At 41.6% G+C, this 15,279-nt stretch overlaps 1 protein-coding gene across 4 annotated transcripts in view; it reads left to right on the forward strand.

Moving 5' to 3' along the window:
• The window catches only part of METTL9 (methyltransferase 9, His-X-His N1(pi)-histidine), a 60,264-nt gene that overhangs the window by 4,632 nt on the left and 40,353 nt on the right, over nt 1–15,279 (forward strand). For all 4 annotated transcript variants that reach the window (NM_001288659.2, NM_001288660.2, NM_016025.5 and 1 more), the window contains exon 2: nt 10,806–10,996. In NM_001288659.2, coding sequence (NP_001275588.1) covers nt 10,806–10,996 — 191 coding nt within the window. The remainder of the gene's footprint in view (nt 1–10,805; nt 10,997–15,279) is intronic.

A 15,279-nucleotide genomic window follows, 5' to 3' on the forward strand; every position in this document is an offset into this window, starting at 1 on the left:
TGGGTCAACTCTTTTCCTTAGAATAATGAATCCAGACATTATTTTGACATGAATACATTCATATTATGAAAATAATCGTGCATGAATAAAGATTAAAAGGAACAGAAGAAAGGTGTGTAGAAACCACCATGAGATAAAGTAGGAAACTGTCCTTTCTGCACTGTGGCTGGAGTTGATAATTTGTTTTCCACTTAATATTCCAGGATCCTGGGTTTGCCTTATAACTTCGTTGCTTGTGAAGTAACTGTAACTGTTTTTCCTCCTTCAGATTAATAGTTTTATACAAGGTCTTCTAAGTGTTCAGTTGGGTGTGTGAGTTCCATAGCCAGCCACATCTGGGCCTTTTGGAGTTGCATAAAAGTAGGGTTGTGGATTTGATTGAACCATACTTAGCAAAAGTGTTCCTTCTGGTTATTTTATTAAGGAATTATGATGGAGGATTCTGTGGTTAAAAGAGAGATCTTGGGCAATGTTTATTCGTTAAAAATGGCTATTTTGTTAGTATAGTTTGGAGAGGCAAGGCTCCTTTGGGCTAAAGCTGCTCTAAAACTGTAGTAGCAGTGCCATTTTAGTAACTTGGTTTGGTGTGCTAGCTTCAAAACTGGGATTATGTTTCACTTTGGGCAAGCAAGAAGCAGGGTTTCACTTAGAGCAGGGAAGTGGCTGGGAGGCCAGACTGGTCTCACAGACTTATTTTACAGCCTATGAAATAAGAATAGTTTTATATTTTTAAATGGTTACCAAGAAAATATCAAAATAACATTTTGTAATACATGAAGTTTCATTTATGGAATTCAAATTTATTTCAGTGTCTACAAATAAAGTGTTTTTTTTTTGAGATGGAGTCTCGCTTCGTCACCCAGGCTGGAGCGCAGTGGCCCAATTTTGGTTCACTGCAACCTCTGCCTCCCAGGTTCAAGCAATTCTGATGTCTCAGCCTCCCGAGTAGCTGGGATTACAGGTGAACACCACCACGCCCAGATAATTTTTGTAGTTTTCAGTAGAGATGGGGTTTCACTATGTTGGTTAGGCTGGTCTCAAACTCCTGACCTCAAGTGATCCTTCTTCCTGGGCCTCCCAAAGTGCTGGGATTACAGGCGTGAGGTACTACACCCAGCCCACAAATAAAGTTTTATTGAAAGAGAACTACCACATTCATTTACCTGTGGTCTATGAGCTCCCTGGCTACAATAGCAGCATATTTGCTACTGTATGGCCTGCAAGCCTAAAACATTTACTACGTGGCTTCTTACAGAATAAAGACTTTTTCCAAGAGAAATTCCCAGCTTCCTTAACAAACAGCTTTTTTTTTTTTTTGGAGACAGGGTCTCACTGTGTCACCCAGGCTGGAGTGTAGTGGCACAATCTCAGCTCACTGCATCCTCGACCTCCTGGGTTCAAGCGGTTCTCATGCCTCAGCCTCTCCATAGCTGGGATTACAGGCACGTGCCAGCACACCTGGTTAATTTTTGTAGTTTTAGTAGAGACAGGGCTTCACCATGTTGGCCAGGCTGGTCTTGAACTCCTGGCCTCAAGTGATCTTCCCACATCGGCTTCCCAAAGTGCTGGAATTACAGGAGTGAGCCACTGCAACCAGCCTCCAACAGCATATTCTTAATCACAGGTTGCAGGGTGGGTAGATTGACTCACTGGGAAGAAATAGAGGCAGGCAGTGAGAAACTAGTAGATATTGTCACTTTGCAATGTTGGCAGACTCAGAATTTAAAAAGACAACAACAAAAAACTTAGGATCTATTCTTTTTGATGCATTGCACCTAGTGCTTAAAGTTAATGCAACTATTATGGAGCTACTGAAACTTTGAAAGGACCCTTAGGCCCCAGGTTCTTGGTAATAATAGCGGTTCAGTAGCTTCTCAATTGATGGAGTGAAAAAATTGTTATAGAACTCGCTGAACCAAACCACAACGATTTCTCCGGGTGACATACTGCAAGGTTTTTTAAAAGCACAGATAACATTCAATATCTGGAATTATTAAGTTGTAACTTAAAATTGCAAGTATGTGTATATTTTTGTGACTTATTTTTTCACTTTCTTATATAAGCTCAGAACTGCGCTATGCCACAAGTGATGAAGAATTCAAGAAAGAATTAAAATCCTTTTTTTTCCCCCAAATGAAAAAATACTTGGACAGCATAGCCAGAGCCAAACACTGTGCTAAAGGACAGAGTGTTTCCTGTCCCTTTACCCCTCACTTACCCTGTGGAGGCAGACTGGAGTCAGGCATGAGTTAACAATGCTTCAAGGATAGTCAGCCAGCTAAGCCGGACAGACACTGATGGATTGGCGTCCTTCTCTGAACTGCCTTCGAGAGTCTGGAGGCCTTTGCAGCTGAATACCAAAGAGACTTCAGAAAGGATTTCTTTGCTTCCTCATAATCTGTGTTGAAACCCCAAGTGTTTGCTTCAGTTTCACAGAACACTAGAATCTCTTTCTTGTGCTGGATATACCAGGAGTCTTTATGTTTCTCTTTGAAGGTGCCCTAGAAGACCCTAATAGCTTCCAGTAAAAAGCTCTGTTGTGTAGACCCTCTGAAGCTTTGTTAAAATTTTAGGATTATCCTGTCCTATGGGGAGTGAGTATTTAGTATTTGCAATGAGGATTGCCAGTAATTGGTTATTAAATCAAAGCTGAAGCCATTTAATCTGTTTTAATTGATTCCCCTCATGGATATGAGGGTGCCTGTCACTGTACACATTGAAATCTCACATAAAGAGGTTATTGGGTTGAGTTTATATTGTTTGTGGGAAAATGGTGAATGGTCTGAATATTTACGCCTATGCTGTGCTTAAATGCAAGGTGTGCATGGTGAAATGTCTGGACTGAGTTGACTGCATTGTAAAATCTTAGAATGTGAATTTTGAATCCTTAGCTGTCAAGCTCTGTTGATGGAGTTGGTCTGGCCAACTTAGAAAAGATTCTGTGTTCATAGATCCTGAGCAGTGGAGCTTTTCTGATTGTTTTTGGTAGCCCTGAATGCCTTGGGTCTTTGATTACCCATTTCTTTTGAGAATGGCTGGATGCCTAGACCTACAGTTTGGTTTTTAGGCATTCCCTTGAACTGTACTTCTCCTCTGACCAGCCCTTGCCTTGGAGAGAAAGGGGAAGGAAATATGAAGAGCTACTGGCCTTCTATTGTGTGCCAGGCACTTCAAATATATTATCCCCAGTAGTCCACATAGAACTCTTGGAGGTTGGTGGTATCATCCGCACTTTACATACAGAAAAGTGAGGGTGAGAGAGAGAAGAGACTTGCTCACCAGCACAGAGTTAATGGATGATAGAGTTGGGCTTTGCACCCAGCTTTGGTTTCAAGGCAACACATTTTCTGCTGCTTTATGATGCCCCTCCTGGTAAACCTTGTGTTGTCTGAGGGGTGGTAAAAATAGGCTTGCCTTCTTTTTTTTTTTTTTTTTTTTTTTTTTTTTTTTTTTTTTTGAGAAACAAGTTCTTACTCTGTCACCCAAGTTGGAATGCAGTGGCCTGATCATATCTCACTGCAGCCTCAAACTCCTGGCCTCAGTACATCCTCCTGCCTCGGCCTCCTGAGTAGCTTCTAAATCTTTTGTAGAGGCAGGGTCTTGCCATGTTGTTCAGGCTGGTCTCAAACTCCTGGCCTCAAGCAGTCCTCCTGCCTCAGTCTCCCAAAGTGCTGGGATTACAGGCGTGAGCCACTGCTCCTGGCCTAGGCTTGCCTTCTGAATAGGAAACTGCCCTCATTCTAGTGAGGCCTCTGTGTAGACACTGAAGTTAGGTAGCTGTGTGCACAATACTTGTTGAAGATTTTGTAGTTTGTGAATTAGATGAGAATAAGACAGCTGCTTGAAGTTCTGGCCTTTATCTGGTTTGTGCATGCTTTTTTTAAGGCTTAAAGTTGAAAAAAGATTCTTACATGTATTGTCATTTTTTCCTGACATCAGCCATTCTCTAATTTTCCATCACCAAGTGGGTGTTTAATTGTTCAATCCTGTTCTGACATTAACTACCTGGAGTTAGGGTCACGCTTTACAGAGTTAAGAGCTCAGTCCCACAAGACTGCCCTCACTTCAGAGGCCAGCTGGAAGTCCTGGGTTCCCAGGCTGCCAGTGCTTTTGTCCACCTTGAACAAATTTGGGAGTTCCCACAACTCTACCTTCACCCTACCCCACCCCACCCCCTAATTTCCTATAATAGAATGACTCATAGAACTTAGGAAAACACAGGTGCGGTGGCTCACGCCTGTAATCCCGGCACTATGGGAGGCTGAGGTGGGTGGATCACGAGGTCAGGAGATCAAGACCATCCCGGCTAACAGGGTGAAACCTGGTCTCTACTAAAAATACAAAAAAATTAGCTGGGCGTGGTGGCACGTGCCTGTAATCCCAGCTACTGGGGAGGCTGAGGCAGGAGAATCGCTTGAACCGTGGAGGCGGAGGTTGCAGTGAGCTGAGATTGCGCCACTGCACTCCAGCCTGAGCGACAGAGCGAGACTCCGTCTCAAAATAATAATAATAATAATAATAAACCACTTAGGTTTACTGGTTTATTACAAAGGATACAATTGGGGAACGGCCAAGTGGAAGAGGTGCATAGGGTGAGGTGTGGGAGGTGGTGTAGAGTTTCTCTTTCCTCTGATGAGCCACCCAACCATCATATCAATGTATTCAGCAAACTAAAAGCTCCCAGGACCCCATAGTTTAGGGGTGTCATTACATAGGCATGATTAGACTCAGTCTTCAACTCCTTTCTCATCCTTGGAGATTGGAAGGTGGGGCTGAAAGTTTGAACCTTATACCCACATCCTGGTCCCCATCCTGAAGCTGTCTGGGTCTCCCACCCCTATCAGGAGTCATCCTGTTAGCATACAAAAGATACTCTTATTACCCTGAGATTCCCGAAGGGTTTTAGGAACTCTCTATCAGGAACCTGGGACAAAGATCAAATATGTATTTTTTATTATACCACATCATCTAAAATCAGTCAGTTTTTAAAATTACTTTCTGACTCTGCTAGTGTGCTTAAATCCTTTGTATTTTGGGAATGTTGTATTTTGGATATGTTGTATATCACATGTTTGATTAGTTGATAAACTCCAAAAATAATTTCAGAAAAACTTTTAACCATATTTGGTCTGATTAGCAAATCTAATTTTATAGGAAAATTGCATTCCTACTTTGAACGAGTGATTCATCAACCAAGGTTATATATAAATATTAGGAGGAGTTCATGGGCTTAATGAGAAATTTTTTTTTTTTTTTTGACAGTCTTGCTTTGTCGCCCAGGCTGGAGTGCAGTGGCACACTCTGGGCTCACTACAACCTCTGCCTCTCTGGTTCAAGTGATTCTTTTGCCTTAGCCTCCCAAGTAGCTGGAATTATAGGTTCCTGCCACCACGCCTGGCTAATTTTTGTATTTTTAGTAGAGACGGGGTTTCACCATGTTGGCCAGGCTGGTCTTGAACTCTTGACTTCAAGTGATCTGCCCACCTGGGCCTCCAAATTGCTGGGATTACAGGTGTGAGCCATCGTAGCCAGCCAGGAAATTTTTAAGACAGTATGACCTAATATTTAATAACTTCGGTTGGCGAATACTGTCAGACATGCATTCAAAACGCGTGGCAGCCACCTGATTTGGCTGTTTACTGCCTGGCCAATTATTAGTATCTTTGCAGTTGTGTTGCCAGTAGGGAGAATATTGCTATTTACTGTAATTTTTAGATATCACATCCTGTTCTGTACTTGGCATCAGCAGATGACTGAATGGAATCATTCTCATTTGATTAGAATTTGTCATTTAAAAGATTCCCTTGTTTATTTAGATGAAACAACATTTGAGTGAGCTTTAAAGGCAGATGCTAATAAGATGCTTTTTCAGACATGGTAGGCTCCAGCCAAGGAGTCCAGCCTCACAGTAGAGTGGGCGTGTAGTCCTGTCAGTGTGTGAATTTAACGGGCATAGTACTTTGTTCTTGCCTGTGCACCTTTGTCTCTGTAGTCTTTAAGGAGCACACATTTAAAGAACTCACCTGCGGCTGGGCGCAGCGGCTCACGCCTGTAATCCTAGCACTTTGCGAGGCCGAGGCAGGCAGATCACCTGAGGTCAGGAGATCAAGACCAGCCTGGCCAACATGGTGAAACCCCATCTCTACTAAAAATACAAAAATTAGCCAGGCGGGGTGGTAGGTGCCTGTAATCCCAGCTGCTTGGGAGGCTCAGGCGAGAGAATCACTTGAACCCGGCAGGCAGAGGTTGCAGAGAGCCTAGATCACACCACTGCACTCCATCCTGGGCGACAGAGCAAGACTCCGTCTCAAAAAAAACAAAGAACTCACCTGCTTGAAAGTACACAGGAGCATACAGACAAGCCACCCAGTGCTGCGAGCTTAGCGTAGCTTTTTATCTAAGCTGGTTGTTTGGAGAGAGGTGAAACCAGGAGTCCTGCCCATTGGGTTAAAGGGGTTCCTGCAGATTTTTTCTCTCCTTGGTCCTTGGTATTTCACCTTAAGGGCAAGGTGACTGCTCCTTTAAGGCTCTGAAGCTCCTCGCCAAGATCATAGTCACATTACTTGTTTCCCTTGGTTTCTGATTTTATTTTCACTCTGGAATGTAAGTTCTCTGAGGCCAGCGAGTCCATCTTTTAATTCAGTCAGCTGGAGTCCCTAGACCATAGTTAGGCTGGGATAGTGGGAAACACTACTGGAGAGTCAGTACAGTGACATTTTGTGGGTAAGGCCATGTATGGGTTCTCAAGCAGTGGCAGTTTTGCCTCCCAGGGGACATTTGGCAATGCCTGGGACATTTTGGGCTGTCATTTGGGGTAGTGCCACTGTAACCTGATGGATAGGCACTAGGAATGCTGCTGAACATCCTACAATGTGCAGGTCAGCCCCTATAACAAAGGATCATTTAGCTCCAAATGTCAGTAGTGTGAAGGCTGAGAAACCCTGGCTTACAGGACTTTAGTTACTATCTAGACCAGATTATCTTTTCTCTACACACATGTAGTTCAGTTTAATTGGCAGGATAGTCCTGCTTTCTTTTCTTTAGCAGACACACTGGGTAGAGTTAAGTGAAGAGAAGCTTCTTTGAAAGAAACGCTTATAAAACAACACGTACCTGGAGCAGGAGCTTGAATCAGCTGGAGCTGCTTAGGGACCCTATGCTTCCCATTTATTCAGAAATTGCAAGGTGGTAAATGAAATGTAAAGCACATGGCTTGGTGCCTGGTGCATGATAGGTGCTCAGTTGGTGTCTTCCTTCATTGCTTGCTTCCTTGCTTGTGGTAATGCAATTTTGTGGTGAGTGGGTAGCTGTAACCACTGGTTGCAAAATTAGGTTTAAGCAAGGCCTTGCAGAGTTTGAGAAATTGACAGAAACCCCATGGCAGCGATCTCTGTGGTTATCCTTATGTTTCCTCTAGGATTTTGTTAGAAACTCCAAATTCTGTTTAGGCTGCCTGTTGATGAACATTTATTGTTTGTCTGTATCTGTGCCAGGCACTGAAGCCATTCATTTTCTCTGCCTTTATGAAGCTCTCAGTCTACCTGGGAAGATAGGCACTGAACATGCGATTGTCTACAATTATTCAATTCAGAGATTGTAAATATTACCAAAGGGACAAATGGGATGTATGAAAGGGTATTAGAACAGGGGGCCTAGCCTAGCCTTTCGTAGGTATATTTTCCTTTGAAAAGAAAATATACCTAGGAAATATTTAGGCTGAAGTTGAACGAACCAGGTGAAGAGAGAGTGGGTTAGGTGGTGGGAAATGTTGGGGGGCAGAGCAAATACCATGTGAGACAGCCACGGGAAAGGGGCCTTCCAGAAAAAAGAAGGAAGGGGTGGAGCTGTGTGATGGAGTGAGGGTCCAGGGGTCATGGGTTGGTAGGGAATGTCATGAGGTGAGGCTGGAGACACAGAATGAACAAAAATCGTGCAGGGCCTTATAAGCCATATTAAGCATTTTGGATGTTATCCTAAGATTCCTGTTAAGCAGGGTAGTGATGTGATCAGATTTGCATTTAAAATTTGCATTTTAAGAGGTTTTCTAGGTTACTTATGTTTTCAGGCCACTTTTAATTTCTGGAAGATCTAACTGCCACCTGCATATTTAGGGAGGGGTGTGTGTGTGTGTTTAAAAAACAGCTTTATTGGGATATAATTCACATACCATGAAATTTATCCTTTTAAAGAGTACAATTCATTGATTTTTAGTATAATCACAGAATTATGCAGCCATCACCAGTATTAATTTTGGAACATTTCATCACCCCAAAAAGAAACCTCATGTCCATTAGCAGCCACTCCACATTGTCCCAGCTCCCCAGCCCCTGGCAGCCACAATCTACTATCTACTTTCTATCTCTGGATTTGCATATTCAAGACATTTCACGTAAGTGGAATTACACAGTATGTGGTCTTTTGTGACTGACTTATTTCACTTAGCATAATGTTGTCAAGGTTCATCCATGCTGGAGCATGAAGCAGTGCTTCATTCCTTTGTATGGCAGAACATGCTATTATTTTATATGAATCTATTATCACATCTTGCTTATCCACCATTTGATGGACATTTGACTTGTTTGCAGTTTCTGACATTGCTGCTGTGAAATCGACATTTGTGTCATGCAAATGGTCAGAAAGGACATACGTTTCACCTTTCTTTTTAAAGAGAAGAGCTTTGCTCTATTTTTGTTCTGTAGCACATTCTGTTCAATAAGCAGTTTCTTTCCAGAAAGACCTGTGTGACAGTAAGGGTTCAACCACACGTGTTAATGTTGATGAATTGAGAAAAATGCTATTAAAAACTTGAGTTTTCCTCTTGGTGCTTGAAAGCACTATTTGCAGCTAATGGTGCCAGTTCCTGCTTGGTTCTAGAAGTCAGAATCTATTGTTGTTCTAGTCCATTTACAAGTGGATGCCAAGGAATTCTTAGCTCCTCTGTTTCACTTGAATGACTTCTCATCCACATTAATAAAATGTACCTGATTGCCTATTATCAAGGTGATGGCTTTCATCTTGATTAGCCATTTCAGAGAATAAAAAATAAATAAAAGTCAGAGTGGCCTCCATATTACAGAGTTCAGAACGTGCACCAGGAGGTCATGAGTATAATAAAAAACGGTTTATGACCTGCACTGGAGCATAACTTCAGGCACAATAAGTATTAAGAATTAGAAAATCATTAAGCAAGAACATTTTCAGACCAAGGGAAAAAATGTAGGCAGTGAATGTAAAAAGCTTCATAGCTTGTCATATAGAGTAGGAAAAATAAAAACAGTTTTATATATAAAGTCCAAGCAGTTTTGATAACTGTGATGAAATGGCAAATTAGCACAAATTAGTCCACAACTGGAAAGGTTTGGTTTACCCAGTTTAGGGAACAGAGTTTGTAAAATGATTAATCTCTGAAATTTAACGTGCCTGTTTGTTTGTGTTGATTTGTAACTAGTTCCTTTTAACGTTAGCATCAGGAATGTTACTTAAGATTTCACTGAACATTAGTAAGCTTAGGATGACTGTAAAGCTGGTCTACCAATTGTGCAAGCACTTATGGGACGTCTACTGCTGATAAAAGGTCGTATTTGTCAAGGGGAAGCAAATTACTCTTGGCCAATTGACTGGGAAAAATTTGTGTTTCATGGCAGATAATGGGTTAATAATAATTGATATACTTTGTAGTTTCATCACTGTACTTAAGGGGCTTATTCTTATTTCTCAGGCTATGTTAGAGGAATCTCACTGCTATTATTATTGTAGGATTCTCACTACGTGCTTTGTATTATGTTGAGGACTTGCCTGCATTATCTTGTTTAATCCTCATCGTACCCTGCCAGGATATATAGACCCCAGTGACATCTCTAGTCTACAAATGAATGGAGGCTGAGAGATTTAAGTGATTTGTCTGAGCTCACATAGGAAGGGCAGAGCCGGGACTTGATTGTGGGGCTGACGCTAAAGCTGATGTACAGTCTGCTTCCCCACCTCTCTGGTATGCTGACTCATTTATTATGAAAGATTAAATTTCATCTACAGGTGAAGCTTTTTGAATTTTGTTCTAGAATGTGGATTCTGGGTAGAGCCAATTCCTGGAAATCTGGTTCTTAGCATGTTACTATTTGGTCTTCTCGTTGATTGCAGTATGACCTTAAGTAACTTCTTAATCTTTCTTGAGCACATGTTGCCTCTGTAAGAATGTCATATGACCTATTTGTAAAGCATACCTCAAGATTTCTAAAGATCTCTTTTACATAGTCCACAAGAGGAAAGGCAACTTAATCTGGTCACTGGAGTGTTAAATTCTGTTGCTTACTTTGCTATTTGGGTTTGTTTGGTGATTTTGAGTTAAGGCATTGGATTATGTGACTGTTTTCTTGTCTAAAAACAAGGATGCTGCTAGCTGTTTGCCTTCTGATGTTGAATCTCAGTGAAAGAGAGGCCAGCAGAGCTTTCTAAATCTCGGGTACAGTGACTGAAGCACTGGGCTGGGAGTCCGAGTGCCTGAGCTGTGGTCTGGTTCTGCTGCCTACTAAGCTGAATGACCCAAAAGCCTCTCCACCCTTCCCTCACCCACTCTACCTACCTTGAGGGCTGTAAGAGAATTAAATGAGAAGTCATGTCTGAAGAAGTACTTTATATTTTATAGGTTATATGAGTATACGAAATGATTATTCTCAGAGTATCATGAGATGGTAATATTTGGAAATCTTAGATGTGATTTAGTCTTCTGGTTTTTTGTTTTTGGATTTCTTAGGTGACACTTCGGTTGTGTGTTTTAATTTTTGTTCTTTTTTTTTTTTTTTTTTTAGTGGTATGTGTGCAACAGAGAGAAATTATGCGAATCACTCCAGGCTGTCTTTGTTCAGAGTTACCTTGATCAAGGAACACAGATCTTCTTAAACAACAGCATTGAGAAATCGGGCTGGCTATTTATCCAATTATATCATTCTTTTGTGTCATCTGTTTTTAGCCTGTTTATGTCTAGAACATCTATCAATGGGTAAGTGAATCTTGGACATTTATTTTTTTCTTTATCCTTAGGTTTACAAAAGGAAAAACACAAAAAGAAAAGTTATCTTGTTCAGCATGTTGACTACCTGAGCTACAATACTTCTACTAGTCAGAACCTTGGCAGTTGGTCCAGCGTTCTATCTTTCTGTGGTTCTGCCCTTTAAATTCACCATAACGTGACAGCCTCATTAGTATGTTTATTCATAGCGGGAGTTACTTACGGTAGTGCTTCTTGGCTTTGATGTACATAGGAATCACCTGGGGGTCTTGTTAAAATGCAGATTATGAGTTAGTACATCAGGGGCTAGGTCTGAGAGTCTGCTTTTTTTTTTTTTTTTTTTTTTTTTTTTTTTTTTTTAAAGACAGTCCTGCTCTGTTTCCCAGACTGGAGTGCAGTGGCAATCTGGGCTCACTGCAGCCTCCGCCTCCCGGGTTTAAGTAATTCTCATGCCTCAGCCTCCCAAGTAGCTGGGATTACAGGTGTGCACCACCACACCTGTCTAATTTTTGTATTTTTAGTAGAGACGAGGTTTCTATGTTGGCCAGGCTGGTCTCTAACTGACCTCAAGTGATCCATCCACCTTTGCCTCCCAAAGTGCTGGGATTATGGGTGGGAGCCACTGCACCTGGAGAGTCTGCATTTTTAACAAGCTCTTAGACGATGCCAGTGATGCTGAATGCTGCTGGTTCTGGACCACAAAGTAGCAAGACTCCTGGAACCAAGCCCTGAAGCTGAGGGCTTTACGCCCTTAGGCTGAAAAGTAAGATCTTTGCCTTAAACATACTTCGCAGTGGCAAATTTTTTTTGGGAGATATAATTAGTCAGCCCAACAGTGGATGATGGCTTATTTTGAGTGAAGAGTCCTGCATCTGTTCTTAAATAATGTCTAGGTTCACCAGAATTTTATGAACTTATTGTGGAATTCTCTGTCCCCAGAGTGGTTCCCTCATATAAATCCATAGAAAAAGCTTTAGGAGTTTTTTTTGTTTTTTTTTTTTTTCAATCCTTTCTTGGCCATGTTTTCAAGCATTCCTAAGGACCTAGAATCTAAAATGCCAAAGAGAAAAGCAACAGGCTCAATGGTTAAGAAGCCTCATTGGACCACTCAAACCACTGGTTGGGCCCACTTTTCTTTTCCCTTGAGGTTTGGAGCAGTTTCTACTGACTGACTGGATCCCCAGTGTATCATCTGGTCCTAAGTCTTCAGGCACCGCAAGCCATTTCTCAAGATTTCTCAGTTGATTTTCTTCATTGTTTATGTGAAATTGCCATACGTTTGCTTTGGCAAACAGTTGTTATTTTTATATGGGTGGTTGAGTTGATACAACTTGGTCTGACATTTTGTTCCTTAAATTGGTTATATTGAATTTCTGTTCTATACCATTTATTCTTCCTTTGGAATTCAGATGAGTCACTGTAGCAGAGATTCTTATCCTTTCTGGGGTCCTGTAGCTCTTTGAAAGTGATAAAGGTAGGAATCCTCTCTTCAAAAAGTGCTTACATTCAACATTTTGTGTATGATTTTGGGGGCTTCAAACTTTTATTTCCCCTTTCCTCTACCCATAAGACCCTGGTTAAAATTCCGTGCTCTAGAATTTCACAGTTTGATCAAAGAGGCAATGCAGTTAATAAACCCCTTTTGGCTTCCCTTACTTAAAACTCTTCTGCTTTTTCCTTCTGATACCCACCCTGCTTTCAGTCCTTCTTGCCTTGTGTCCCATTCTCAGCTAAAAACTAAATTTTAGGGCCCATCAGTACTTTCCGGTCATGGCAGTGGGAGATAATTACTACAGGTGGCCATCTCTCACAGAAATCATTACTGTAGTACTGTCTTGTATTACCTTAGGATACTTATCAAACTTCCTTTATTTTGGAAAGGAGAAGGCCAAGTAAGGAAAGACTTAGTAGATGTTCCAGAGTTTATTTTATAAGGAAGAGGTGCATCTCTCCGTAGACTCTTAAGTCTAGAGAGAACTTAGATTGTGATCAGAGAACCTAGGATGGTTATTAAACACTAAAGTTAAACCCAAATTAGAGGGTCATATCTCTTCATGGTTTGTGTTTATGGGAAACTTTGTATTGGGCTCAGTATTTTAGGTGATACTGTTTTTCATTGTGCGAGACTGCCCCCCACACTGCAGGAAGTCTAACTTTTCTGGCCTTGCCCACTAAATGGCAGTAGTACCCCCAGGTCCTTGTGATTACTGGAAACTCTCCTGTCTACTCCCATTGCCCCCTAGAGGGCAAAATCAATCCTGGTTGATAAACACTGGGCTTGATGGATTTTGATTTATTTTTTGACAGTGTTAATCTTTTTGTAGAGCCCCTGTTGCTAATGTTCTTTCGAAATAGGACAATGCTTCCCCTCTTTCTCTAGTGCCTTCTTTCTTTCTTTTTTGGAGACAGGGTCTCGCTCTGTTGCCTAGGCTGGAGTGCAGTGTCACAATCATGGCTCACTGCAGCCTTGACCTCCTCAGGCTCAGGCAGTCCTCCTGCCTCAGTCTCCCAGGTAGCTGGGACTAGAGGCTCATGCCACCGTGCCTGGCTAATTTTTGTATTTTTTATAGAGACGGGGTTTCACCATGTTGCCCAGCTGGTCTCAAACACCTGGTTTCAAGAGATCCTCCCACCTCGGCCTCCCAAAATGCTGGGATTACAGACGTGAGCCACCATGCCCAGCCTCTAGTGCCTATAAATGTAGACCAGTCAGATGAACTTGTGAGCTCTGAGCTCAGGTGACCTCTTGTTCTAGAATTTTATAATTATCATGTCAAGATTCCTCACATCCCAAGGAGATGGCTTGGGAAGCACGCTCTGGGAAAATTTAAGCAAAATAACTATTTTGTGACTTACTTTTGGTCCTGTGGCAAGTCAGCATCAGTATTTGAAATTCGCCTCCCCTCAGCCATGCTGCCAGTAGCCTCTTTCTGCTGTGACTGGTTTCTGTGTTAAATTTTGTACAGCTACTTCAGCAAGTTCAGATTTGCTTATTTTCTTACTGTAATATATGAACAATTGAGGATTAAAACAACTTGTCTTTTATGAGACGTGATTTTCTTTGGTAAGCAGTTGTAGTCGGTAGCATCACGTTTAGTGGTCTCTGAGGTCTTTCTCCAAATTTTTAGCATTTCTATGGGGGCAGAAGATTTACTGTAAACTTGGTTAAACTCTCCTATGGCCTTAATGGGAAAAGGAAGGGGGACTTTGTTACATGAACTCCATTATTTGTATTTTTTCCTAAAACTGGTCTTACCTTGGGCACCGTGTTGCATGCATCTTTCCAGTCACTGTATAGCAGCAAACATTCTGTACCTTATGATTGTTTCCAGAGAGCAGCAGTACAGAACAGGTTTCCCTGCCACTTCCTGGACCAGTGGTCCCCAAACTGTTTTCTAGGGTCTGAGGAGGAAGTGCCTCAGGAACTGCTTCAGGCTGCAGAGAAAGGCCTAGAAGTGGGCTGGCCACAGCTCCTGGGCTCCCAACCTCATTCGAACAGCAGCAGCTCTCTTAGGATCTTATGTTATCTGTGAGTTCCACTTCATTTAAAGAAAGGGTTCTGCTGCTTAAAGGAGGGTTGAGAATCCCTGTCCTAGATAAACTAGAATTTCAGAGCTAGAAAACAAGTCCTAAATAGGGATTGCGCTTTATTTCCCAGAGTGATGCTTCCATGAGACTTGGCTGGACCTATAGTTGCTTTTCTGAGGGTTCTCTTCAATCTCCAGTTAAACTCCCCTCAGTCTCTTTTTTCAAAGGCATCACTATGGTTTTGAGTGTTTTCTAGGACCTTTAGAAATAATAGGACCCAGACAGTTGTAACCATATAAACTGACATAAGTACGAATCTACTTTAATGCATATTAACCGACATCACAAGGACCACTCTTTTCCCTCTTTTCTCTAGTGTCTCTTAAAAATCTGTTATACTAAAGCTCTTTTTTCCTGATCCATGGTTTAGTTCCATATTTGAAATCACTTTTTTTTCCTATTTGGTTTCTCTGCTACTGTGGTCTGGCTGTGTTAGCTTGTCATCTTTTTCAACTGATAAACATGTTTTCTGTTACTCCTTCCACTTTTCCTTCCTATTTTGACTTAAGTTCTTCACATTCATCTCTTACTTATTTCTTCTTCCTTCCCCTGTCATCCTTTCCACTTTCCACCTTTTATTTCCCTCCTCCCATGCTTTTTTGGGGCATTATTTGCAACTCCAAAGACAAATGGTATCTGGAGGCATTTTCTTATTTTATTAACTTTGTCTTCTAATCATAGAAATG

This window comes from Homo sapiens, chromosome 16, assembly GCF_000001405.40.
Source record: "Homo sapiens chromosome 16, GRCh38.p14 Primary Assembly".
In the NCBI taxonomy this organism is placed as follows: Eukaryota; Metazoa; Chordata; class Mammalia; order Primates; family Hominidae; genus Homo; species Homo sapiens.